This window comes from Homo sapiens, chromosome 8 (genome assembly GCF_000001405.40).
Source record: "Homo sapiens chromosome 8, GRCh38.p14 Primary Assembly".
NCBI lineage: Eukaryota > Metazoa > Chordata > Mammalia > Primates > Hominidae > Homo > Homo sapiens.
In genome coordinates this window covers 139850911-139878669 of record NC_000008.11, presented here as the reverse complement: position 1 = coordinate 139878669, position 27759 = coordinate 139850911, and the positions used below count along the sequence as shown (strand labels likewise).

Below are 27759 nucleotides of genomic sequence, written 5' to 3'. Positions count from 1 at the left end.
CAACTGTTTTGCAGGACAGCTCACCTGCTGGGCCAGGCGTGAGGTCTTTAGGTTGTTATTTCCGAGCCCTGCCACAGCCCTGAAGCCTGAGGTTCTCCCATGTAGAGGAAGAACTTGAGCTCAGCACAGCTGGTCTCCCCCAGCACTGCACAGCTGGGAGGGAACAGCCCCCAGGTTCAAATATGAGTTCCTTCCACCAGAATCTCAACCTCCGGCTAGATCACTTCATGAAAGGAATATATTCTCATGGTAGAAGATGAGAGACAATCAGAAAACATAGATAAAAAAACAGCCTTTCCCTATCCCCAAAACAACCTCTAATTCATTTTTGTGCATTCCCAAGTCTTTTTGCTACTTTCCAATTCTAATTTTGTCCATAGGGATGATCCTACTGTATTTATACTTCTGTGTCCCTTTTTACGCTTGACAAAAGTATAAGCATTTCCCATGTTATAAACATGTCTCGCACATATTGTTAAGGGCTGAACTATACTTTATCAAATGAATACAAGATAATTTAATACTTGTTCTATTGTTGAACATTTAGATTGCTTCAGAATGTTTGCTATTATAAAAGTTACATGTAGTGGCTTTTTCTAGAGCCTTTTCTGTGTTTTGGGGCGATTCCCTCAGCGTGGATTCTCAGAAGTTATTAATATTTTATGGGATCTTGGCAGAGAGCAAAGCTGTCAACTTTATTGTGTGATGATGACAGCAGTTGCGTGGCTCGGACTGGCAAGGAGTCAGCGCTGAGCCAACTGGGGTCTCGGCACAGCCTCCGCTGCACCCTCGTGGTGAGTCTTGACTTCAGCTGATGGTCAAGTCCTGTGAACTTGGGTTTCCCTCTTGTAAAGTGAAGATACTTAGTGGAGGTTTGAAGAAACCCCCAGGAGCCCAGCAGAGAGCATGTTCCTCATGTTCCTCAGGCTTGGAGCCCAGCAGAGAGCATGTTCCTCAGGCTCACAGAGGCGGGTGTGATCTTTGGGGGCTGTGCTGTGGGTGCTGATGCCAGACTACGGGCAGTGGGGGACCACCAGAATCTCCCTGCTTCTGGGGCCTGAATCCCGGAGTGAGTGTGTTCCTGCTGCAGAGGGTCTGATGGCAAGGCAGGAGGCAGAGGGCAGGGCTGGGCCAGGAGCAGGGCCATGCTCACAACTGGACCCCGAATCTGCACATCGGGCTGGAGCTCCCGAGACCCCTCCGTCTCAGCCCATGAACAGTCCTGGAAAGGGTGTGCTGCTCCCATCCTCCAGGTGGGAAGAGCAGGAGGTAGGGCTGGACCTTTCTGTGCCTGCTGCAGAAACCCAGCATGCTCCCTGACTGTCTATTTTGAGGACCATCTTCCAGGCGTTTCCATAGAGACCCGGTCATGGTGACTAATGGGGCTAGGCATTTGCCATGCGGATTTGAGTGTCCCACGACTGTGCCACCCTCCGCCTGCCTCTTCCACTGCTAACACTTTCCTCTTTATAGCTCTTTGTATTTTCTCAGATGCATCAATGATTGGTCTGTGCTGTCTTTCATAGACATCCAGTGAATACAGATTAGGTTTTATCCACATTATGGAGTGGATATTTTCAGTACACATTCTCCAACTAATCACCAAGCAAATCCCACCGTGAGCTCCAGTTCTGAGCTGTGATGTGAAGGCTGCACATGTGGGAACGAGGGCAACACCAGCCTGGGAGGCAGAGCAGCCACCTGATAGCTTGTGTGCGAGACAGTCCTCTGCCTTATCTTGGAGGAGATGTGGTGCTCTCACATTTGGGGAGCATGGCTCAAGGTCCAAACTCTTCATGACTAGGAGAGTATAGCGGACAGCAGATACAAAGGCCTAGAAGAGTGAGGTGGGGCTGGACATGGTTCGTGGGGACAAATGATTGCTGTTGTTGGAGCCTGGAACCACAGGGAAGATGGGTGGGCTGGTAAGGAGAGGGAGGTGAGGCTGGGGGCCTAAGGTTGCATGGAGGATGTTGATTGATTGATTGATCCATCCATTCATTCAATAAACATCTGTTGATCACTACTCTGCACCAGGCACTGTCCTCAGTGCTGGGGACCCAAAAATAAACTCAATCCCTGCCTTAGAGCCACTCTCTGTCAGATGAGGGCTGGGGTTCCAGATCAGTCAGCAGGTTGTTTACACAGATCCTGGTATTTGCTGGCCTCAGAGCTTGTGCAGATGTCCCGGAAGCAGAGGCGAGAGACAGACTAGAGCCTGACCCCCAGCTGCCGCCTTCCTGGGAAGGAGTCCCGGTACGCATGAGGATGTGGCTCAGAACCCATGGGCCTCCCCGAGGACAGACCACCTGGAGCAGGCTGTGGATCCCATGGTGTCTGGGTGTTGCTGCTTCCATCTGAACAGCACCTTCTGCCCTGAGCCAGCTCCGTTCAGGAGTCTGGAGCCCACGGTGCCAGCAGCCAGTGCTCTGCCTGGTGCCTCTGAGGCTGAGCTGCGTCCTGGTGCTTTCTGGGGCTTTGCAGAGAGACATGTCCCTACAGCGAGAACGTGCCCTTTCATCAAATTGTGTAACATGGACATCATGTGGGGAGCTTTGTTTATTTCTAACATGAAATTCATGTAGAATGGCTGCTACGAGTTGCTGAATACATTCAGAGCTCAGACTGCCTGGAAAAGGGAGTGAGAAAGCCGGCTCCCACTAGCCGGACAGTAGGACAGCCGCACCGATGGTGGCAGTGGGTGCCCCAGGCCACCCTGGCAGCTGGGCTTGCCCACCGGCCCTCTGCCTCCTTCCCAGGTAGCTTAGCAACAGCACCAGCAGTGGATTTTTCCAGCACAGCCCACATCTCCAAACATCTGCTCCAGGCCAGTGTTAGTCAGTACTTCTGAGGCCTGTGGAGGAGCCTCCGCCCACTGGGGCAGGTGAACTGGGTGGTTTTGTTGACTCTGAGGGCCTGGTCTGCCTGAGCTGAGAGCCACTTCCTGGAGACCACGATGGTGAATTGGGTGGTTTTGGTGACTCTGAGAGCCTGGTCGGCCTGAGTTGAGAGCCACTTCCTGGGGACCATGACGGCTTGTGGCAACTGGCCTGAGGCCCAGCTTGCCCGGCAGTGGGTGTGGGGGGCGAAGGCTGTCGCATGGCCCAGTTGGCATCCCTGGGCATGGGTTGACAAAGAGGATCGTTTGTTTTTCTTTACAAAAGTAGTTACCTTCTTTTTGAAGGGGGAAAAAAAATGAAAACAACCTATATTCAGAGGAAAAGCCCCAGCTCCTAATCCCCCATTTGGAGAGGCCTCTGTTCACAGGCCCCCAGTGTTCCATCTGTGGACATGGCTGCTGTGTTTCAGGCGCAGTCTCCTTTCTGCGTCCCTGTGGCAACCCTGGAGGAGGTTGCTACGACATCCCTCATGTGGACGGGAGAAAGGAAACCTGGAATGTGGCAGCCCCAGGGCCACCTCATCCCATCTGAACCCAGGCAGCCTGGATGCAGGGCCTGTCCCCACCCTGCCTGCTGCCTTGTCTCTCTCCTCTCCCTCCTCTCTCTTCTTCCCCCGTCCTGTCTACCTTCACTCCTCAATCTTCTATTTAGCTGCAGACATCTCTGTTTGAAATACCATTTGGGAGCCTGCTTAATTGTGATCTTGATCCCCAAAAGAAAAAGTGTTTGTGGAGCACCTACTGCGCCTTTCAGGAAGGCGTAACTTCCAGCGTCCCCTCATCTGTTCCTCCCAATGCCCCAGTGGGGTAAGCACTGTCTGCTTTTGGAAGAAACCGGTGGGTGGAGAGGCTTTGTGACTGGTCCCATAGCTGCTGTCCCTGCCCCCGGTTATGCGCGTGTGGGACTTGTCTTTCCCACGGCGCTCAGGGCGATCTTCCACCTGTGGCCATGCTTGTTGTTCTCCTACCTGGAGAATTCTCATGGCTACAGAGCCCTGAGGATGGACTCCCAAGCCTGGCCTTTGGCTCAGAAGGCCCCCCACTGCCCACAGCGCCTTCTTCATCCTTGCCTCCCTTCCCTGGGCCTGTCTATCTTCCCTGTGACCTGGGCTCCAGGCTTCCTCAGCTGCAGTTGCTTGTCCCTGTGAGCCATGCTCCCCCCAGGCCTTCATACCTGCTGCCTCCCATAGGCTTATCCAGCCCTTTCCTTCTAACTCAGGTTCTTGTAGGCAGCCTGCCTTGGCCTCCCTGGCCCCACACGTTTGTGCCTCGCCTGGGCCCAGCTGCATTTCCGCCTGCGCGTTTCCCCACCCCCAGCATGGTGTCTTTCTCCTTAAGGTTGTACTGTCTGCGGGCTGTGTCTTCCGCTGCTGGTGGGTGCCTGAGAATGCAGCAGCATCCTCAGCACCTGCGGGTGCTCAGTAAGGGTTTGCTGACTCCATCAAAGAGTGAATGAGGCCATCCTCCTCCTATCGGTCCAAGGCCAGATTTGAGCCTAGGCGTAGATGTCATTCTTCCACATGATTTAAATAGTTCCATGTTGATGTGCCCAGATGCACTGAGACAGTCCCTTATTATCGCTTATTAATGTTTCATTTTTCCATTTATAACTCTAAGGCACGTATTCCTGGCATCTGCCTTACGACAGCCCTGGTCAGTTCCCAAGGATCCATTCCCAGAGCAGCCTTACTGGTGCAGCGTGCGTGCCTGTGGCCAGCCTGGCCTTCAGGGTGGTTGACTGACCCATGCTCCTGCCGAGAAGAACGGCCTGACTGTGGGTCAGTCTGGATCCTCGGCAAGGCAGCAGCCAGTTTGAGAGGATGTGCGCTCCAGTCCTGGGAGAGGGAGGTACTAACCCCAGAGCCAGCACAGAATGTGGCACCATGGTGGCTGGGCTGGTGTTTGTTTCCGGAGGCCAGAGGTGGACTAGGGGTTCTGATCCTAGAGCCAGGGCTACATCTTTCTGAGCCAGGTCTCTGGAGAAAACTCCAGTACAAAGGACAGGAATATGGCCGAGAACAGAAGCCAAGTGGAACGAATTGTCCTCCCAGCCCCTGGCTGCTTCCACCTGAAGTAACTCTCACTGCAGGAGGCCTTCATCACCCTTGTCTGCTCCTGCATGACACCCCCTCCCATTTACTTGGCCATTTGTCTGTCCTCTTCCCAAGACTGTGAGCTCCTTGGAAACAGTGACTGTGTCCAGGCAGATGAGAGGAGGTGCTCTGCCTGGCTTCCTGGATCCTCCTGAGCAGGGCATGGCACTGAGGGAGAGCAAGTGCAGGGAGCAGTTGGCTTACCCCCGGCACTCACTCACAGCCTGATGGAGGGGTGGGGGAAGGTGCTGGGGAGAAAGGGACAGTTCTGCCCAAACCAGGATGCTGGGAAGGGTCCAGCTGATGCACTTGTGAGTGTTCACTTATTACTGTTATCCTTTTATGATGAATAATATGATCACCTATCAGTGATCAATGTGTTGGCATCCTCTTTCTATCCATGAGGAAAATGAGGCTGGGAGATGCTGATGGACTGACCCAGCGTTCCCAGACAAATCAGCAGTAACGTCAAGACTGGTCTTGAAGCACTATTCTAGACTTTCATTCGCTTACTTTTATCCTCCAAGCATCCATTCCCCATCCCTGCCACCTACCCACCCACCTATCCAACCATCTACCCACCAACCCACTCATCCATCCAACTATTTACCCACCAACCCATCTACCAGCCCACCCACCCATCCATCCATCTACTCATCCAACCATTTACCCACCAACCCATCTACCAGCCCACTCATTTATCCACCAAACCAACCATTTACCCACCAACCCATCCACCAACCCACCCATCCATCCATCCATCCATCCATCCATCCATCCACCCACCCACCCACCCACCCACCCACCCATCCATCCATCCATCCATCCATCCATCCATCCACCCACCCACCCACCCATCCACCCACCCATCCATCCATCCATCCATCCATCCATCCATCCACCCACCCACCCACCCACCCATCCATCCATCCACCCATCCATCCATCCACCCACCCATCCATCCATCCACTTATCCAACTGTCTACCCACCAACCCATCCACCAGCCCACCCATCCATCCATCCACTTATCCAACCATTTACCCATCAACCCGTCCACCAGCCCACCCATCCGTCCATCCACTTATGCAACCGTCTACCCACCAACCCATCCACCAGCCCATCCATCCGTCCATCCATCCATCCATCCATCCACCCACTTATCCAACCATTTACCCATCAACCCATCCACCAGCCCACCCATCCGTCCATCCACTTATGCAACCGTCTACCCACCAACCCATCCACCAGCCCATCCATCCATCCATCCATCCATCCATCCATCCATCCACCCACTTATCCAACCATTTACCCATCAACCCATCCACCAGCCTACGCATCTATCCATCCACTCATCCAACCATTTACCCACCAACCCATCTACCAGCCCGCCCATCCATCCATCCATCCATCCATCCACTCATCCAACCATTTACACACCAACCCATCCACTGGCCCACTGATCCATCCAACCATTTACTCACCAACCCGTCTACCAGCCCACTCATCCATCCATCCACTCATCCAACCATTTACCCACCAGCCCATCCACCAGCCCACCCATCCATCCATCCATCCATCCACTCATCCAACCATTTACCCACCAACCCATCTACCAGCCCACTCATCCATCCATCCATCCACTTATCCAACCATTTACCCACCAACCCATCTACCAGCCCACTCATTTATCCACAAGCCCATCCACCAGCTTATCCACCAGCCTATCTACCCATCCATCAACTCATTCATCTGACCACCATCTGTCTGCTCCCACTCACCCATCCATTCATCCAGCCACCCACTAACTCATTCATCTACCTACCCATTGATCCATTCACCCACCTATCCGCTCATCAGTCCATCCACCCACCTACCCACCCACATATTCGTCCATTCACCCACATATTCACCCATCCAGCAAATTGCTATTGAACACCTTTGGTGCCAGTCTGTGCTAGACTCAGGGGGGCTGCCTCTGGGGTACCTCAGCTCTTACTCCTCCTCCTCTAGCTGCCTGCTGCTTTCTTTAAGAGACATCTTTTTTTGGAAGGGTAATTTCTGCAGTCGTCTATTCCTGTGGGGGAATGGGACATGGGGCCATGCCTTTCATCATTTGATTCAGATTCCAGGAAATATAAGGTTCTAATAGTCCTCCTCAGTGTGGCATTAGGCCAACTGGTGTGCTCCTAGTGCCTTCTGGCTCGCGGGGCTGGGGCAGACCCTCCAGCAGGAAATGAGAGACACAGTATAAATGCCTGCAGGTGCTGAGGAAAGGGTGATGTGAGTGCAGCTGTCAGGTTCTGAAAACAAGCTAAGGAAAGAAGTCTGAAATCTCCATAGAGTGGCAAGTAGCAGGTTATTAATCCTAATAAGCCAAGAGCTAATAAAAATGGACTCAACATAGCATGCCCTATGCCTACCCAAGGTGGGCCCAGGTGTCCGGGTTATAACAAAACTCAGCCACAGAGCGAAGGCACCTCTCAGCTGGCGGACTCTCACTTGTAATCAGCATAACTACCTTTATTGAGAAGCCTCTACTGCAGGGACTTTGCTGGCATTTAAATTCACTCATGTCACACAGTCCTCACACAACCTCATCAGATACATAAAACCACCCTTGTTTTACAGAGAGGGAACTTGAAAATCATAAAGCTGATTTCATGACCACCAGCGAGTAAGTGTGGGAGCGAAGAGAGACGGCCCGCCTCCCAGCACTGCCCCACTCCCCACTTCCAAGGGAAAGCCTCAGAATATCAGTGGAAAGCCTTTCTCCCACTGCATGGTAGCCCCTGCAAGCCAGTGCACTAAGTGTTTATTTGCTTTATTTATGTTGCAAAGAAAAAATATGCACAAACATACTTCAGAATTTAGGAGGTAAGAAAGGATGTACAAGTCTCCTTCTCCTTAACCCTGATCCTCTCCCCATGGGCTGCTGTTGTCCCATTTCTGGTTGTGTCTGCAGACATAGTCTGTAAATTTCTTTTCCTTAATGGTGTCCTGTGACAGCTGTTCTACCATGTTTGTTTATTTTTATTTTTTCACTTAATGGTAGATCTCGGGTATGTTTCCATCTCCATCCTGTGGAGCTGGTGCATTCTTTTGAACCTATGCATCAGATGCATCCTCCTTTATTTACTCTGTACCTTTTGATGGACGTAGGTTGTTTCTAATGTTTTGCTGTTATAAGCATGATGGCAACAAATATCCTCGTGAAATATGTCATTCCTCACCAGAGTGAGTCGCACTGTATGATATTCCTTTCAAATGGAGCAATCTCTTAAAAAATATCTTCTGTGTTGGAACCATGCTTTAAAAGACCTGCTTCATTTGGATTACATTTTTAAAACATTCTCCCATGTTTTCTCCTGGTACGTTCATGGTCTCATTTGCTTTAATATTCAAACCTTTTATTTATCTGGAATATACTAAGGTGAGTGCGGCATGGGTCCTCCCTTTGTTTTTCTAAAAAGCCACCTAATTGGCCCCAAGTCATTTAATCAATAATCTATCTTTTCCCAATCACTTTTCTCATATATTTAGGGAAATTGTTGGACTCTCTTCTGTCCGTGTACCCAGGAGTGAGCACCACCCTTGTAGTCGTTCTAGCTTTACAGTACAGTATATTTTAATATCTGCTATAGATAGTCCTCCCTCAATGCCTTTTTGCCTTTCTAAATATCTACCTGTGGGTTGCATATTTAATTCATTTAAAATTTCCTATTATAAATACAGTTATTTAAGGATATGAATTTTCCGGTGGTCCCTGTTTCTACTCTTTTCCATGTTCTAGAATTTAATGTTTTAATGTTTGATATGTTTTAGGCATTCTGCAATTAATTTATATTTCACTTCTGTCCCGAGAGTTAAAAGATAGTTTTTAAAAAAACTTCCTATGGTAATTACTTTGTTTTGTTTTCTTCTTTTGTTATTGCTTTCTAATATAATGGTATTATCAGTTCAATACTATTTTTACCACTTACAATTTACCAAGTTTTCTTTGTGCTAAGATTTTTGTAACTATGCCATGGACATTTTTAAACAAGTTATGTTCCTTGTTTTAAGTGTATTGAGTTGAAAATGTATCAATTAGCTCTACTTTATTAATGATACGGGGTAGTTCTTTAAGATCCTTTCTTATTTGATCTACCATGGGGTTTGAGAGGTGAATCACAACTAATGCTCATGTGGGTCCATTGCACCATGAGTGATCTTGTATTGATGTGACATGTGTGTGTCCCATGATACCTGCAGTGTGAATGCTGATGGCCTGTGGCACACAGATGCTCATAACTGTTGTCCTTTGGCTGTCCCCTTTATTATTTAAGATGCCCTTCTCTGTCTCCTTTCATGTTTTTTGCCCTTATTTCATCCCTCTTTGATATTATAACTACCACCCCTGCCTTCTTTTTGTTTGGCTGGTATACTTTTGCCTATCATTTGAATTTAAACCTTTGAGAATCACATTTTTATGTGGTTCTCTTGGATGAAGCATTGAGTTTTGCTTTCTGATCCAACTTCAAAGTCTTTTTAATTCATAAGTGAGTTTAGGCCATTTATATGCATTGCTGTGGTATAAATGTTTGGTCTTGGTTATGTCATACATTCTGTTGGCTTTTTGTGTTTGTAATTTTTCTATATACTTTTGTGATCTGCTTTTTCTTGGTTTTGTTCTGTGTGATAATTTTCTTCCTCTTTCTTTTTAAACTTTCCTTCTACATCTTCTGTCTGACCTACCACTCCTTCCTTCCAAGGTCTGAGTTGCTTAATTTTTCTGCACAATTGTTATAATACTCTGATATTTAGTCATATCACAGATTTGTTTCTTGTTTGTCTCTCTACCCTCATTAGAATATAAGCTCCATGCAGGACGGATTTGTTGTCAGTGTATTCTCAGAGCTTAGAACTGTCCTTAGAGCATCTATTACATGCGCAATAAATATTTGATGAAGAAGTTAATAATACAGACTTTACAACAATCTCCAGAGTAGGTAGTGTTATTACTACGCTTTAGGGGAGAGAACAAAGCGTATGTGAGGTTGTCATTCAGTCTGCAAAGCAAGGACCAGAACACAGTTACTGTGGTTTCAAAATTCACGTTTTTCCCAATATATTTATATTTCCCAAAATCATAATGATGAGCTAGTGGCCTCCATCTGGATTTCAAGCCTTGGTCTGCTGACTTCCAACCACGTATTCCACTGCAGCACGCTCCTTTAAGAGGAAAGAAAGGAAATAATATCATGCACAAACTTGCAGAAAAGCTGCAAGTATGGTAGTAAGAATTTTCTTTTCCTGAACATTTTATTTATTTATTTATTTTTGAGATGGAGTCTCGCTCTGTTGCCCAGGCTGGAGTGCAGTGGCGCAATCTTGGCTCACTGCAGCCTCCGCCTCCTGGGTTCAGGCAATTCTGCCTCAGCTTTCCAAGTAGCTGGGATTACAGGTGTCCACCACCACACCTGGCTAATTTTTGTATCTCTAGTAGAAACAGGGTTTCACCATGTAGGCCAGGCTGGTCTTGAACTCCTGACCTCTGGCGATCCACCTGCCTCGGCCTCCCAAAGTGCTGGGATTACAGGCATGAACCACTGCTCCCAGCCTGAACCATTTTAGAATATGTGGTTGATCTGATGCCCCAAACACCTCCAAATTATTAATGTGTATTTCCTACGAACAAGGACATTCTCTTGTATAACCACAATACAGTCATCAAAATCAGGAAATGAATATTGATATATGATGATCTCATGCCGAGATCCCATTCCAGTTTTTCCAGCTATCCCAGTAGTGTCCTTTATATTTAAGATTTGGGTCTCATGCAGAATCATTTGCTGCGTTGAGCTGTTATATACATTTAGTCTCCTTCAGCCTGGAACAGTTCGTCCATCTTTCTTTGACTTCCATCACCTTGACACTTTAAGATATTACCAATCAGCGATTCTGTAGAATGTTCTCACTTTTGGTGTATGTGATGTGTCCTCATGATTAGATTCAGTTTTGAACATTTTTGGCAGGAATGTCACAAAAGTGAGGCTGAGTCCTTCTCTTTGTGTCTATCAGGTGGCCCACAATCTCTAGTTGTACCATTGCCGGTGATGGTTATTTCACCATTTGATTAAGATGGTGTTTGCTTCCCTCTACTGTAAAGCTACTCCTTGTCTCTTTGTTGTTACTAAGTATCTTGCGGGAAGGTGCTTTGAAACTGTGTGGATATCCGATTCCTCATCATGGATATCCGATTCTTCATCAGACCTTTAAATGTGCTTATTTATATTTGTATGGATTCATCATTTTCAATTTTATTCATTGGGTTAAAATTCATTGCTATTATTAGTTATTTCGATACCCAGATTATCCTGATTTGACCTCTGGGTGCTCCTTCAGGCTGTCTTCTGTGTCTCTTGACCTGTCTGCATCATTATTCTTTGAGCACACACTTATTTTCTGGCACAAGATATTCCAGGTTCATCTCAAACATAAGCCCTGATATCACTCATTTCTCACAGGAGTCTTGATTCCCTCTAATGAAAATTGATATTTAGAGGCCAGGTGCAGTGGCTCATGCCTGTAATCCCAGCATTTTGGGAGGCCAAGGCGGGCGGATCACTTGAGGTTAGAGTTCAAGACCAGCCTGGCCAATATGGTGAAACCCCATCTCTACTAAAAATACAAAAACTAGCCAGCTGTGGTGGTGGGTGCTTATAATCCCAGCTACTCAGGAGGCAGAGGCAAGAGAATCACTTGACCCTGAGAGGTGGAGATTGCAGTGATCCCACACCAACCAAGATCCATACTTTGGCAGGGTGGGGTGTCATTCATATTGGGATGTTGCTGTTCCCAAGCATTCTCAGAGGATGGAGCTGGGAAATAGACATATACATATGAATAGAAATAGACACACACACACACACAGCCTCAACATCTCTTTCTGTCTGTCCACCTTAACAGTCACTGGCCCACACTGACACCACTAATCCCAATCCACCACTGCACAGTTCCTTATGGTTTGTCCCTTTTCCTTACTGGTACCTCATGTCCTCAGCATGGAGAGGTCGGCTTTCATTATCTTTACTGTAATCTGTAACTTATCGGTCTTCCTGTATGTAACCAATCTGCCATCTCCATCCCAGCCCTTCCCACACTCCTAGGCTCTCAACGGGTCACCAAGGGGACCCAGCCCAGAGATCCCACAGGTTCCTGCCTTCCCCTCTCACTCCTGCTCTGGCACCCAGGCCAGGCCTCCCCACTGTGTGGATGCCCTCCTACCCTGGATGGGCTCTGGTATCTCACACGGGGTGCATCAACCAAAAATAAAGTTCTAAGGCCCCCTGACCATCTGAATGGACTTCCTCCTCAGCCAGGGCTCTTAAAATTGAACCTGAGAGACAGGTTCAGGCCATCATGGGACGTGGGGGTGGAATATTCCTCATTATACCTCCCCAGCATTAACATCAACACATTTAGGTCTGATAAGGAACATTTTGCAACCTGTTGTCTCTGAAGCCCGCTAGCTAAAAGCTTCATCAGCATGATAAGACTTTGGTCTCCACAACCTCTTATGCTAACCTGACATTCCTTTGATCCCAGGTCTTTAGCCAAACTCAACCAATTGTCAACCAGAAAATGTTTACATTTACCTATAGCCTGGAAGGCCCCCCATGTCCCCACCCCTTTGGAATTGTCATGCCTTTTTGGACCGAACCGATGTATTTCTTAAATGTATTTGATTGATGTCTCAGGCTTCCCTAAAATGTATAAAACCAAGCTGCACCCCGACCACCTCGGGCACATGTTCTCAGGACCTCCTGAGGGCTGTGTCACGAGCCATGGTCACTCATACTTGGCTCAGAATCAATCTCTTTAAAGATTTTACAGAGTTTGACTCTTTGGGTCAACAGGTGGCTCACACACGGGGCAGCTCTGCTGTGCGGATACCTTCCTCCCCCTCCCTGGACCAACTGGGTTCTCTTGGGACCCCATGGCTTCAGGCTGAGTTGTTTGGGGAGGGAAGGGGTGGCCTCTGACCTTAGGTCCCTGCCTTTTCCTGTGACATTCCCTTCCCTGCCGTGTCTCCATAGCTTTCCTTGCCATTCACTCTTACTCATTCTTCCCGGCCTAGGTCAACGGTGGCCTGGTCTCAAACATACCTTTTGCTTTCTCCTCTCTCTGCTCCCATCCCAGGGGTGGCTCTTTCTCACTCCCCTTTGATGATCTGTGTCTGTTTCACCCCCTCTATGAACTCACAACACAGAGTGGGTACAAAGTAAATGCTTGTTGAATGAGTGGTCTATAGTAAGCCTTCAACAAATACTTGTTTTGTGAATGAATGAATCAGAGAGAAACAGTCCGTCTCCTCAAGGAGTCCTCAGGCGTGTTGAGGAGAAAGTCTGTCTTCTGCCAGACCAGAACGCATGGACATGGGACCTGATTCCTTCTGCTGTGGGAGAGCCACCTCTGTCTATAGAGATGCCTGTGGCTCTTGCCCTGAGAGCAGCCTTCTGAAATGCTTTCTTCAGACCCCATGGGGACAGCCTTAGTTGTGATGATGGCTTCTTTTGCTGGGCCTCCTTGAGTTTTTCCTCTGCCGCCACCTAATCACAGCAAAATCAAGAGAATGTAGACCGCTGGCTTGAACCGGTGCTAATGAGTGCAGATGTGAATCAAGCCCAGGTCTCTGTGGGATTCTTAGTTCCAAAGTTTCACGTGAGCTTCCGGGCAATGTTCAGACATGGTTCCTGCGGAGCTCATGGCGTCACCCTTGGACCTGGTGATATTTATTCTCCTCATCTTAGGATGCTTTCGACTGGGATGTGTCCACATCGGTGCAGGTGAATAACTGCTGGCATTAAACACCTTTGTTCCCAGCAGATGAGCCAGTCTGGGTCCAAGCGCTTTTCTTTTGCTGAGACTTCTTCACCTCTAGGATCAGGACAATGACCCTGGGAAGGGCGGTAGTGCCCACAGCCCTGCAGGGCTTGCTGGCGGTCGGCATGCTGCTGTCTGCTCTACAGACGCTGTCCATTGCTCCCGGCAGGCCTGTGGAGCAGGTATGCTACTGTCATTTACAGAGATGGAAGCTAGGGCTCTGCAGTCCCCTAGCCAGGAAGTCACAGAGTGGACGTTTGAATCAGCATCTGCCTGGTGCCATCCACAGGACGAGGCCTATGTCACAGTGTCCCAGATGTATTCCATCCCTTAAATGAGAAAATGAATTTCAAAAGATATGACGTGCTAAAAATAAGTGATGGAGATTTCAGTCTTTCTACAGTTTTCCATTGTTTCCTTCTAAGATTAAAAACAAATTTAACCCCTGGCGCCTTCATCTTGCAGGAATTTTTATATCCCCGAATTTTGCAGCCTTTCCAAACCCTCACATTGAAGGACGGACGTGGAAAGAGAAAACATATGTTGTTGGTAGAGATAAGAGTAATTGAATGGGCTATTTGGACGTGGATCAGCTGGGACTTACTGTACCAGTGAATGGAATCTCTTGTTTTTCTTGGATGCCTCATCCAAGGACAGCACAGGAAAGAGTCCTGGGCGCCAGCTGAATAAATGGCTCCTTGAACTAGCCTCGGGCTGCAGGAGAGGGAGGGGGGCTTTGTGGTGGCCTGATGGAGCTGGGCCAGAATGTTGGGTGCTTAGCAGGGCAGGGAGGCATTGGTCCCACTGGTGGGCGGTGCTGTCCCCAGCACCTTGATGCTCTCTGGTCCCAGTCCTGGCTGGGAACTGTGGGGCTTTCTGGCCATCCTGGGTGATGTCAGCTAGAGCCTCAGACCTGCACTCTGTTTTCCAGCCTGCCCGGTGTGAATGCTGCTCCTTGCCCGCTCCATATCCCCTCCCGTGCCCCTCAGTGGCAGATCTATTTTTAGCTGCAGCTTCAAGCCAAGGCTGCAGACACAGCCAGTGGGGATGAGTGGGGTGATGTTCGGGGTTGTCCCTGCCTTCCCCACGTTGACGTGTTGAGCATCTCAGCCTTTCTCAGAGGCGGGAACAGCGATTCTGGATGGGAAGTGGAGGCCCCTTCAGGGAACGCCTGCTGAGCCATGCCTGGCAAGGGGCAACAGTGCTCCTGCTGGGTAGTACTGCACCTCACACCATCTGCGAGTAGAAAGGGCCTCACCCCGCAAGTCCCGGGTCCCGAGCCTGACCTGTTACAGTGCTCAAGGTTCCACGCTCTGGATTTCACCACAGGCCTGGGGCAGCATCCCCAGCAGAGGAAGCAGTGTCCTGCCAGGGGAAAGAGGTGCTCCCCGGCAGCCTGGAGAGCATGTAGGGGCCAGGCGCACCCCTTCTTTGGGCCCTCCGTGCCTCCTCCCTGTGCTGCAGCTGGGCAGCGGGCAGGTCTCTGTCCTTTGGCCCTTTCCGTCTCTGCAAGTCCTGGGCTTCCTGGGGCTCAGGCCTGCTCACTGAGTCCTGGGGAGACAGGGACCGCGCCTGTGGGGTTAGTGCATCAGGCACCATGCTAGGACCCACCTGAGCGAGAGCTGAGAGGGGCTGCAAAGTCCGTAGCCTTCCTGGCTTCTGCCACTTTGCATAAAATGCAGCCAATTCCTGTGGTGTTTTCTCCCGGAGAAGACACGCCAAATGAGCTTTTGTCAGTAGTCTGGGAACTGTCTCCTGAGATGGGAGCAGAGCCTGGCCTCAGAGCCCTCCCCTCTGTGTAGGTGCTGGAGCTTCCTGGCAGAGGAGGGGCTGTGCATCCCTGTGCCTCTGCCACATGCCAGGAGATTTAGAGAGGCTCCCAAGGGCCACCCACCGGATCGAAAGGTGGCGCCACACGGAGCACACATGTCTGTACAATGACCTAGGCTGTGGGAAGGACACGGCACCCAGGGGGAATGCAGTGCCCTGGTGCATGTGGGGCCGGACCAGGGCGCTGTGACCCTGGGGAGCCCCTGGCCTCACCGTGCTTCCCCTCCCTTTCTGTGGCTTACTTAGGACTTGCCCAGGACTTGCTGAGTATGCACAGAGCAGGTGCTTCATGGAGAGTGAGATTAAGACACTTAATGTCCCAGGAAGGAAGAGAGGTCTGGTAGCACACGTAGGTCAGTTTAGGCCTTGGTACTAAGAGGTTTGGGGGAAATCACTCCTTCTCCTTGGGAATCAACAGAGGAAGTGATCCTTACAGGCGTCCCCGCCTCTGGGCCCCTTTGAAGCTGACCTTGAGCCTGATGAGGCAACTTCAAAGACAGCCCCTGACCTTTCCCAGGCAGCTCTTGCTGACATCCTCTCCCCAAGGCCCAAGGCTGGTGCTCCGTCACTGGATGGCTGGGCCAGCCCAACAGCTGGAAGAACACGGCTGAGTAACCTTTGCTCTCTGAGACATCAGTGTTCCCAGAGGACAAGCCCCTTCTCTAGAAACAAGCTCACAAGTCCCCATTGATGGTGGAAAAGGCAGAGACCTGGTGGGGCAGGGCAAACACAGGCAGCAGCCCTTTTGTGAAGCAACACAGGCCAGGAAGAGCTGAGGCCCTGGGGCCAAGTGCCCTGGCGGTGTCTCCCAGCAGAGCCGTTTTTGCTCAGTGACCATGACCTTACAGAACCTGTTTCTGAATCTGTAAAATGGACCAGAGTCCCAATGTGTATGGCTTCAGAGAGATGAAATCAGGTAATGTACACATTGTATCTGCCTAGCAAAGGCACCTGATGGTCTTGCATTCAGACAGGCAAGTAGTGCTTCGCTGATCTGTGTCCAAGGCTCTTTGGAGAATGGAATGATAAAAACACGTGGACACAAAGTTTCATCTTTCCCCTTTCCAGGGAGGTGACCATTTCACCCTTGGTCTACCTGGGAGGCCCCAGGCTCTCGGTGAAGACCCCTGCTTTTGTGGGGGATGGAGTGATGCAGCACTGGATCATGGCAGGCAGGGGAGACAGTGCGTCTTCACGTTTTCCCATGTGGAGACCAAGGCTTGGAGACTCAGGGGGTCTGTTCAAAACCACTCGATTTGTGGGCTCCATAGCACCCCAGAGCACATCCCCTCTCCAGTGGCCTAGAATGGGCAGAAGGAAAAGTGCAGAGCATGTTAAATATAAGTGAACCCCAAGTTTCTTTTCAAAGAATCAATACGTCAGTATGTTCAGCTCTCTTATTCTTTGATTCTCCATTTTAAAGTTTAACTTCCTGGTTCTCTTCGCCCCCTTGCTTCTAGTTTCAGTAAACAACTTTCCCAACAGTCCTAGTCAGTAGTTCACATCTGTTCCCCTGGTCACCCAATCCATCCTGACTCATCCTGGTCACCTGCTCTGACCTAAGTCACCTTTAGTTACCTGTTCCTAAGTGTCCTTCCCACCAGACTACTCACCCCACCACTCTGGCTCATACCCCGGCTCTCTTTAAAGTAGCCAATCGGAATTAGCTTAGACTGTGCAGTCCAACCCTAGCCAATAGGGGAATGACACAGCAGTAGAGGCTACCTGCATCAGGAATAAGAACTCGTTCCCCTCCCCTGTCCAGGTGTGCTCTCACCATTGTTAATCTGCAAGGAGCACCCTTTCTGCAGAAAGTAAAAATTGCCTTGCTGAGAAAATTACATTTATGTTCGAGTGCTATTTCTTTGCGGCAGCAGGGAACAAGCATTTCTAACAAGCACAAACGGAACCCAGTTCTTCCCGCCAGCATATGCCGCCTGACAGAAAATATAGAAGGGCTGCTGTGGGAAAGTGCCAGAAAGCCGGTAGGCGCCAGCCTGTGAGACGCCTGCTCCACCGGCAGCCACAGCTCCCAGGCTCTCCAGGCTGTAGTGTTTGTTGACTGTAGCCTGGTAAGGAGCAGCTATTTCCAGGTGGTGAAGGTGAGGGTGCAGAGCTTACAGCCTGGAGGTGTGCAGGGCTGGGAGGCCCCTCAGCAGGAATCTGCCACTGGGCCCGAGGAACCTGGGAGAGAGGCTGCCCTCCATGTGAGGGCCCACGGACGGCGACAGGCATTGGTCTGTGCTTAGTGAGGGATTTACTCGGTTAGCACTTGTTTGCTGACCATAGACCATGGACCCAGCTCTGGGCCAGGAACTGGGGTGCAGGAGGGATGAGCTGGGGGGAAGTGCTGAAGGAAGTGTGGAAAGAGCCAGGTTTGGGCTTCAGACAGCCTTGAGCTCCAGGCCTGGTTTGTTGGATTACCTGAGCATGCATGAGGACTGTCAGAGCCTCTTTGAGCTGGGGGCCGGGGATCCTGTGACACACAGCAGAGGCCTAGATCCTGGCATTGGGGGTGACTATCCCGGAAACAGCCATTCATTCACCAAATGATCATGCATGTAGCACAGAATTATGATGGCAGCAGAAGGTCTTGCACAGGAGTGGCCAGTGGCTCCCTGAGGTTGTTCCCGACCTCCACCCCTTGGAGCCGTGTAACAGCCCCTTTTGGACTGGGTTCTGAGAGCCTCAGCATGTGTGGGGTCATACCCGGCTGGTCTTCAGTGGGCTAGCTCTACCTTTTGAAGATGATGTGGGCTTTTTTCTAGAGTGCATGTGCTTGGTTAAGGCTCACTGACAGCCATGGGTGGTTTGGGAGGATCATTTATTCAACTGTTTATTCACTCCACAAACATCTGTCCGGCTACTGGATGTGCTGACACTGTGCTGATACTGGAGCTGCAGAGATAAAAGATGACCTGTTCTCACAAAGCTCACATTGCAGTGAGCAAGTGTTTGAACCAAGAGTCGAGGTGTGAGTCATCCCCAAAGCGTATAAAGTTGTACCCATTTTATGACTGTGAGTTCCTTTTTCTGGGAATAGGGTCCATAGTTTTCATCATATTCCCAAGGGGTCTGTGGCCCCAGAGGGGCTGGACTTGTTTTAATTAAAGAATTAGCAGAGCAGGTCCCTTCCCTCTCCTATCGTGGTTCCTTCAGGGTACTGCCTGCTGTCCCCCAACCCAGGTTGCTGGCCACAGAGCTCCCTTGACGATGGCCAGAACATACTGCAGCTCTTCCCAAAGACGTGCCTCTCTTCTTGGCACCCAACATCCTCTGGGTGCCAGGGCCTGGCTGAACTGTTATATGTCCCCAGCTTCTCTCTGGCCGTCTGGCCGCATGGGGCAGATCTGACATCAGGACCCATTCTGTGTGTGTAGGCTGAGTGTCTCCGGTTGGGGAGCAGAGCAGCCACTGGTCATTCTCTTTTTTGGAATGGAGAAAGTGTCATGATGTCATCAGGGAGAAGCATGAATTTTCCTTCTTTCTGAAGCTGTGACATGTTACCATCCAGATGCCTCTGCTATTTCTGGAAGCGTGAACTTTATTATGCAGAAATTCAGCTTTGCTTAGTAAGCAATAGAAGCGCTGCCTTAACTAAATGTCTCTGGGGGTCATTAGGACAGTGAGCGGTAGTGATTGCTGCATCCAAAAATGGAAGCGCAGGCTGGGCTTGGTGATCAGGAAAGGAGCCGGCCTAAAAGCTCCTGGGTGCTGCGAGCCAGGAGTCCAGGAACGGAGAGACCCCTCAGGTCACACGGCCACACAGGGGCACGTGGCATCAGACGCAGGCAGCTCGGTGCACAGCGGTGACTCCTCCTGGACTCTGACTCGGGCCAGAAACCGGGGGGCTGGAGGAGTAACCCTGGAGAAACAAAATCCCTCAGCTTGGCCTCCACGCCACTCCTAGAGCATAGAGGACAGGGAGTGCTGAAAGGGCAGCGTCTGCTGTGGGAAAGGAGGGAGAACCCATGAAGACGTGACATCTCAGAGATATCTGAAACTCGGGGCCCAATTTCACCGTGCAGAAGCAGAGGAGACGGCTTCTAGATGGAGACCGTAGGAGGAGCCAAGACTGAGAGATGGGACTTATGCGAGGCGTGTTTAAAGGGACAGGTTTAGAGCGGGTGGGGAGGGTGTGCAGACTGTGCCCCCCCCGGATTCACAGTCCCGGTCGCAGTGGCTACTTGTCGGCTCTGGCCTCGGCAAAACCGTTGGTGCTGCTTGAAGGCACAGAGCATTATCATTGAGCAGTTAAGTTCCTGCAGGTGCCGGCTGTGTTGCAGGTGTAGACACTCATGGACGAGCAGACTCTTGGGGAGGGGGCCCCTCACCTGTGTCCTGTCCCCTCTAGCACTGATCTCCCACCCACCCAGTCCCCAGATCTACTGGGGCCTTCCTGGCTGTCCCCTATGTATACACACCTGACAGTGGAGTGCAGAGAAGATGTGAGTCAGTTGCAAAGTCAACTAAAAATCTTGGGAAAGATGCATGTTTCTCTAGATTGATAAAAATGGCATGGAAGAGCTGCATGCGGCTGGAGTCCCACCCTGAGCCGTGGAGGAGCCCGGCAGAGGAGCTGGCCTGGGTCTCAGCAGCTGGGCGGAGGCCCCGGGGAGGCACGGCAAGCATCACGCAAAGATGCACAACCCTCCTTATGATCGCGGAAGTCAGGTGCAAAGGAAGCACCCCATGCTGTGCTGTCACACACGTTTGTCAGAAAAGTACAGGAAAAAGCAGCCAAAACTTGACTCTTTCTTTGTTGTTGTTGTTGTTTAAAGAGTTAGTCCTTATGGCAAAGGGAACCTGAATTTTATTATGTATGACCCCTAATAAACTTGTTTTCATAATGTTTTTAGATTTCATTTTTCAAGGCAAAGCCCCAGTCACATCTTATTTGCCATGATGCTTTGGTCCCACTTCTGAGCAGGTTCCTTCGAGTAGCCTTTTTGGAAGCAGTTCTCCCAGATGGTGAAGCCTCCTTTCTCTTCCTTTCTACTGCCAGATGTTTATCCACAGTGGACAACTGGGAAGGCCCTGATGTTGAGCTGATGGCTCGATGGTTGGGAGACAAGTGCTAGAGATGGGGACAACTGCCTCTTCGGTGACCTGTCAATAACAGCTGAAGGCAGCAGGGTCCCTGGCCAGGCCACCTGGGTCCATTGCACCTTTTTTGGGGCTAGTTGCTCTCTCCACCTGCTGCTGGCTGTGTGCAGCTGTTGGCAGGCAGCCCAGGGCACCCAGCCTCGTGCTTCCTGGTGAGCAAGTTGCTTTACAAGCAGCGGGCCGCCCAGGCAGGGAGGAGGCAGAGGTGGTCAGACGGCCCCATGCTCAGCTCCTGACTCTCAGAGGGCACCATACGGAGCTCCTGTGGCTGCTCCGGCTGTTGTGAGGCTGCTCTGTGGCCACCATGCCTTCCTCGGCCAGTGGCAGCCGTGAGAGTGAACGGGCCTTGGACTTGGTGTCAGCAGGCCTGGACTGGGGTCCACGTTGCCCCATGTGTTTATTGTGTGACCCTCGGCTTCCCCAGCTGTCAAGTGGAGATAAAATGGGGACTGTCGCCTTGGGTTGCTGTTGGGATGTGGGGAGAATCGCACTCAGATTGTCAGCGAGCACACTGGAAATATTGCTATGCCTCGCCTTGCCTCCATGGGACAGGCCTTCCCCTGCAAATGTTCATTAGCACTCTTTATCCTCAAGATACAAACCAGACTCCTGCGTGTGTCCTGCGATACCAGGCCCATGAGCCGCCGCCAGCCTCTGGCCTCACCTCCTGGCGCTCCACCGCTCCCTCCTCTGCTGTGCTGATCCCTGTGCACTTGCTGGAAACCATGGACTCTCACACTCCCCTGCCTTCACACATGCTTTCCTTCTGCCTGGAGTGCCCTGGGCACCTTTCTGCTCTTTCACCTCTGTCTGAACCAGCTCCCCCCGCCCAGATTCCCAGGGCGTCCCGACTGTCCCGTTGCTCCTTATCACCCTGCTTCCTCTCTCAGACCTCAGTGCTCCCGGGAGCAGAGGTGTGTGCCCGAGTCATCTCTGTGTCCCTGTGCTCAGCAGCGTCAGGTTCACAGCAGCAGCTTAGAGAATACTTGAATGAAACATGACAGACAACATTAGAATGAATGGGTGGGTAGATGAATGTTTGAATGAATGAGCACGTTCTCCTTCCACCTCACTGGTTTTGCCTGTACTTTTCCTCCATCCCCTCCCCTTCCTTCAACACTTGGGTTTTTTTTTTTTTTTTGCAGGTGCTGGTTTTTGACATGGGAGGAAATTAACAGTGAAAGCAAGCCTGTCCTATTTACAAAGGGAGTTAGTGCTCACAGTGCAGCTAATGCCGTTGCTCTTGAGAACATTCACAAATCCATTTTGCACGCCACCCCCCGCCGCTGTCCAGCTGCTTTGCTGTTGACCTGTGTTACCCATGAGCTCAGGGGAAGCTGAGAGGACATTGTCCCACACCTCTCTCCTGCTAGACTCAGGCTGCAGCGGGGAGCTGGTGGGTTCGCTTCCCAAGGCCAAGTCTCCTGGCCTCCCGGTCCCAGAGGGGGAGGGCAGTAGAGGAAGGGGAGCCGCCGCAGGGCTGTCTGAGGTCTTGCTTTCTGGGGAGCAGAGATGGCTTCAGGAAAAAATCCCCGGAGAGGGTTGGCCTTGACCCTGAGGTGGTTGCAGGGAGAGGTGGCCAAAGGCTGGAAGAGGTATGCTGAAATTCAGTCCCCAACCTGCAGCCCCTCCAGTGCCTGTGTGCCCCTCCACCCCCACTCCACAGGCCTCTCCTCCAAATCCCCACATCTGAGGGGCCCTGGCTGAGAGCACGGCACAGAGGGAAAGAAACTCAGTGCACTGGCTCAGTCTGTGCTCCGTGTCCCTGGCTGTGTGCGTTGCCTCGGTCACCCTCCCACACAGCCTGTGAAGCTGGAGAGCATCATTTTTATTTTAATGATGAAGGCCCTGGGACTCGGAGTTGGGGAACTTGCTCAAGGTCAGACTAGATAGAGAAGATCAAGAATTTGAACCCAATTCTATCTGTCTCAACATGCAAATGCTTTTTACCAGGCCTCACTGCCCCCTAGTTCTGTGGGGGACCCAGGTTTCCTGTTACTGATGAAATAAGAGGCATATGGCTTGGCCCGTGCCTCAAGCAATTGCCAGTCTTATGAGCTTTATAAACCACGCATCAAGTGGCCTCTTCACAAGGGCGGCCCTGAGGTGCTGGGGTCGAGCGGGCTTGCGGCAGAAGACAGGACATGCCCCACATGCCGCTCCTGGACATCCTCCCACCTTGGTAGGGCTTTTCATTAGAGGTTCCCAGAGAGAGGCGCCAGGGCCTGGGCTGACCGCATAAGACTCCCCTGAAGAGCGTAAACAGGGGACTTCCCACTCCCTCACCTTCCAGGGAATCTTATCTAGAAGGTCAGGAGCGGAGCCGAGATGACGCGTCGTGTAAGCACTTGCACAGCTGTGGTGAGCTGCCTGGGAATTTCTTTTTATCCTCTCGGGTCTCCACGTGGACCTGCCATGTTGATGATGCCGTTGTCATTTGAAGGTATTGAATCTGAAGTTCAGAGAAGGAAGTGACATGGCAAGGTACCCCTGCCTGCTAGGGCCTGGAGCTGAGCGCCAGGCACTGCACTGACCCTAGGGCTGCGTGGGAGCAGCGTGGGATTCTAAACAGGAGGTCTGGAAAGCCCAGGCCTGCTCACCTGATTACCGAGGAAAACAAATATTTAGCTGCTGCCTCTTCACTTCCCATACCTATTTTGGTTTGATAGTCTAGATGCAGAATCTTTGGGCCTATTTTATTTACTTGTCTTTTGATCTGCAGCCCAGCTCTGGGTTACAAGGAGACCAGGTAGGCCCGATTGGCTTCCAGGGATGTTTGTGGAGGAGGCAGCGTCTCCCGCCTCTCAGAGACATGAACAAATAATGGTTTAATCATTGACGCATCTGCCTCAGGAGACCGTGCCAGCTTTGAATGAAGACGATTGATAGGAAGGGAAGGAGCCAGCCCATGCCAAGGCTCGGTACCCCATCAGCCCTCGCTTCAAGCCAGGAAGGGGGTAGCCAGGTTGGGTGATTTTAGGGGGCATGAGCAGGCCAGTGTGCTTCCCAGGCAGGTCGTAGGGAAACCAGCGCTGGCCTCAGTGCCTGTTTGGCACCCTCTTTCCTGAGCTTATTTGAGAACCTGCCACTGCCAAGTCCTCAGATGCTGCTGAGGGTAGCTGCAAGCAAGGCTTCTGTGAGATTTGACCAGGAAAGAGAAAGCAGAGAGGAGAGGATGAGAGCAGCACCTACTAGGATTTTACGTGTGCAGGCGTGATGCCGAGTGTAGCTACGGCCCCTGCTACTCTTACCATCTCACCGAGGCTCAGAGAGGTTAAGCTCCTTCCGTGGAGCCACATAGCTGGAAGTGGAGGAACCAGGGTTTGAATCTGGGTGGCTGATGGGCTGCCCTTACTGAAGGCGTTCTGTGTGCTGGGTCCTGTGCTGGGTGCTCCAGGTGTCACCTCCCTGACCCCAGGGCACAGACACGGACACCAAGGGCCTGGCCAGTGCCCAGCTTCCGTGGCTGGCAAGTGGCAGAGTGAGGCCTGCCCCAGCGTGGGCTCCTGCCTCTTTCCTGTACTAAAAGCGTCATTCATGGCAGCGTCTGTGAGCTGAGGCTCCAGGGAACCAGCCACCCCTATCGATTCTGACTCAAAGAAAGTGAGATGACTTCAGTTCTGATGTTCCAGAGTCATGTAGGGGGTGGAAAACATTCCAGAGTGTGGAAGAACTCGACCTCCTGAGGTTTCTGAACCCAGAAAGCCTCGCAAATCCCTCCCAGGGTCCGATAATCAGATAGAGAGTGATGAGTTTTCTCCTGTAGAATGTTGAAGGCAAAAACGTGGTCAGATGTGTTAATTTTCCTGGTTTTATTGTTTTGTTTGGATGACCCTTTCAGTGAGACCATTTGCCCTGAGGATTAAAACAAAATTAAACCATAAAATTAAATAATATTTTGGTATAATATAGTATTATATACGTATGGTATACACATGTATGTGATAACTACACATATGTAGGTAGTATAAAATATTAACATATTTATTTGCAAATAATTAGAAAACCCAAAACTAAAATAAGAGCCCTTCGCTTCCTTTGTAAAGATACCCTACCTTGGCTCTCAGGCCCTTGTCCATTGAGAGGCCTCTGTCCCGGCTCTACCCTGGGTGCTCAGAGTGAGCACATGTTGCTCTCAGCAGTCCACTGCCCCCAGCCTGCCCCTGGCCCAGCCCCTTCCTGGGTCCAGCCATCATTGGCCCAGGAGGAACTGATGCAAAGGCCTCCTGTTTTTTTTAGAGCTTAGGCCTGAATCCCCACCCTGCAGGAGGTGGTGGCTGAAGCCCTGTTTGTTCATTCATTAGTCCTTGCATTTATTATTTCCTTCCTTTGTTCATTCGGTCAGCAAGCATTTCTTGAACACCTGACTTGTGCTAGGTGCAGGTGATTCAGGATGAACAGAGTTCTGTCCCTTTCTTCCCAGTCCCTTCCACCTGTGGGGCAGAGTCTCTTTGGTGAATAAGATGGGGGAGTCATAGGTACCATGGGCGCGGGGATACAGTTTCTGGCTCTTTCCTAAAAAGGAGAAGAGATTTGGAAAATGCCTCTGATCGCTTGGCCTCCCCTCCTCCTTTTCTCATGAGGACCCACACTGCAAATGGGAAACTGGTTGTCGTGTCTCCCGAAGGGCAAGCATCCTGCACATTGCTCCTGCCACCGCCATGTGCTACAGGAGCCGAGCTTGGGAAGGCTGGCCAGAACCATCTGGAACAGGGAAGGCCTGGGGGCCAGAGGCCTTTACAGAATTCAGCATGGAGCGTCCCCATGCTGACAAGACAGGAGTGGTTTAATGCCAGGTGTTGGCGTCACCACGGAACACTTCTTGGGAAGCCTAGACTCACGGGAAAGAAGATACAAAGAACCTTTGCGAATGACGAACAGCAGCGTATGGCTTGGTCAGCGGCTGACCCAGATGATCAGACAGGGGGCAGGCCAGAACTCAAGATGCCAGTTTGCTCTGCCTACCTCCAAGAGACTATGTTTGCAGTTTCCTCTCCCCAGGGGCTGCCCATATTTTGAAAGATGATATCCCATCCTCTTGAATAAAGGATCATGAACTTACCTTTTCATGTCATCAATCAGAAACACACATCTGCCAACCAGAGCTCCCAGCCAGCCCAAGGTAGCTGGTGTAACCTCATAGAACAGAGACCATGCCAGCCCAGAGGGAGAAAATGGAATATTTTCTTTGGTTTGTGCTGCCCGATGGAAGATAAACACATGATTTCCAACTGATTGTCTGAAATATTGAGAATCATTACCATTAACACCATTAGTGCCTTTGGGAGCCCAGGTAGAAATCATCAGTCTGACTGTTCTCTGTCATTTTATACATTTGGAAACTGCCCACAAGAAGGAAGTTCATCAGTGGCAGAACCAGGACCAGGGAGGAGAACAGATATTGTCAGAGCACGCACTGTGTATCTGGCACTCGGTGAGGAGCCTCCTGTCCAGTGGGGAAGGCGGGCATCAACCCATGAATTCATGATCCGGTACCAGAAATAACATGGGCGCACACTAGTGTTCTGGAGTGTGAAGGAGGGAGAGGTTAGATCTCAGAGACTGTATTAGTCCATTTTCATGCTGCTGATAAAGACATACCTGAGACTGGGCATGTCTTTAAAAAGAAAGAGGTTTAATTGGACTCACAGTTCCACGTGGTTGGGGAGGCCTCACAATTGTGGTGGAAGGCAAGGAGGAGCAAGTCTCATCATCTGTGGAAGGCAGCAGGCAAAGAAAGAGCTTATGTAGGAAAGCTCCTTATAATCATCAGATCTCATGAGACGTACTCACTATCACGAGAACAGCGCAGGAAAGACCTGCCCCCATGATTCAATTACCTCCCACGGGGACTCTCCCACAGCACATGGGAATTCAAGATGAGATTTGGGTGGGGACACAGCCAAACCATATCAGAGACGTCCTTCATTCCCCTGGCAGACCCTCCAGGAGCATCTGTGGGATGCACAGCCAGTCCGTTCACCAAATCCAGTGTCCTTCTCCACCTGCCCCTCACAGAGCCCACCCAGATCCTTCGGGGAGACTGTGCGTGACTGAATGACTTTGGAGATCTCCTGCTGGTGCCAGCTCAGGCTTCTCTATAATGTTAACAGCAAGTACTGTATGCAGCCATGCATATGTTCCAAAGATCATCAAATGTAAACATTTGCCGTGAGTCCGCGGGACCTTTCCCCTTCCCGACTCATTTCCCTTTTGAACGTTGGGTTCGGTTTTCCGGCACTCTCCAGGATTCCCAGGCTGTGTTCTCGTGTTAGTGCTATCCCACTTGCTCTGCTTCCTCTGGAGACCAGAGTTCAGGGACCTGCTCTGATGGATGATTTGACCGTTCATCCCCGTTTGAAATAGGTACCAGGTGGAAAGCAGGCCCGGTCCCATGCCTTCCGGGATGCACCACCGTCTAACCACCATCCTGTTGTCACTCGCATACAGCTCCCGGAGTCAAGATGGAGGAGCAGTTGGTGACATCTGTGGTCAGCATCTATCTTTTGAGTTGCTGTGGGTCTGAGCTCCTGAATTCCAGTTGAAAGTAGCATGGTGACACGGGGAGAGTGTGTGTTCTGGAAGGACATTGACTTAGGTTTGAATCCGGTCAAGTTCAAGAAAGTATGCTGTTCCCTGACCCTGATATACTGCTCTCCTCGGCTCCCATTGTACGTTGTTCATACCTCTCTGCAGTGGTTCATATCGCTGTCTGATCACATTGTTATACAGAAGTTCCTCTATTCACTGACAGGTTAGGCTCTGACAGTAACAGTGTGTAAGGAACCCATGACATCATCTGCTGCTTGGGAGCTGAGCTGATGTGCATTTTCTCCATTACTGATGCTTGTGAAAGTTCCTAAGGTGAAAATCTGTGGATGGAGAGCTTCTGCAGTTTTCTTTTTACACGATGATCTCTTTTAGACAGAGTTCTTTTGAGCATGGAGGATATCTTACTCATCTTG

The 27759-nt window shown here is 50.7% G+C and overlaps 1 protein-coding gene and 1 long non-coding RNA gene across 12 annotated transcripts in view, besides 2 other annotated features; one reads left to right on the top strand and one right to left on the bottom strand.

Annotated features, from left to right (window-relative positions):
* TRAPPC9 (trafficking protein particle complex subunit 9) overlaps positions 1 to 27759 on the top strand; it is a 730855-nt gene that overhangs the window by 579910 nt on the left and 123186 nt on the right. The gene's annotated exons all lie outside the window — the stretch shown is intronic.
* Positions 4074 to 4656: an enhancer, noted in NCBI's record as "H3K4me1 hESC enhancer chr8:140886258-140886840 (GRCh37/hg19 assembly coordinates)". NCBI's record gives its function as "activates a minimal SCP1, AML or CMV promoter by ChIP-STARR-seq in naive H9 embryonic stem cells {active_cell/tissue: H9 hESC(naive)}" and the evidence as "EXISTENCE:reporter gene assay evidence [ECO:0000049][PMID:30033119]".
* LOC107986981 (uncharacterized) lies at positions 7209 to 17438 on the bottom strand. Its single transcript, XR_001746115.2, has 2 exons — positions 13141 to 17438; positions 7209 to 10204 (listed from the first exon to the last, which is right to left on the bottom strand). It is a non-coding gene; the product is annotated as an uncharacterized LOC107986981 (long non-coding RNA).
* Positions 14477 to 15450: an enhancer, noted in NCBI's record as "H3K4me1 hESC enhancer chr8:140875463-140876436 (GRCh37/hg19 assembly coordinates)". NCBI's record gives its function as "activates a minimal SCP1, AML or CMV promoter by ChIP-STARR-seq in primed H9 embryonic stem cells {active_cell/tissue: H9 hESC(primed)}" and the evidence as "EXISTENCE:reporter gene assay evidence [ECO:0000049][PMID:30033119]".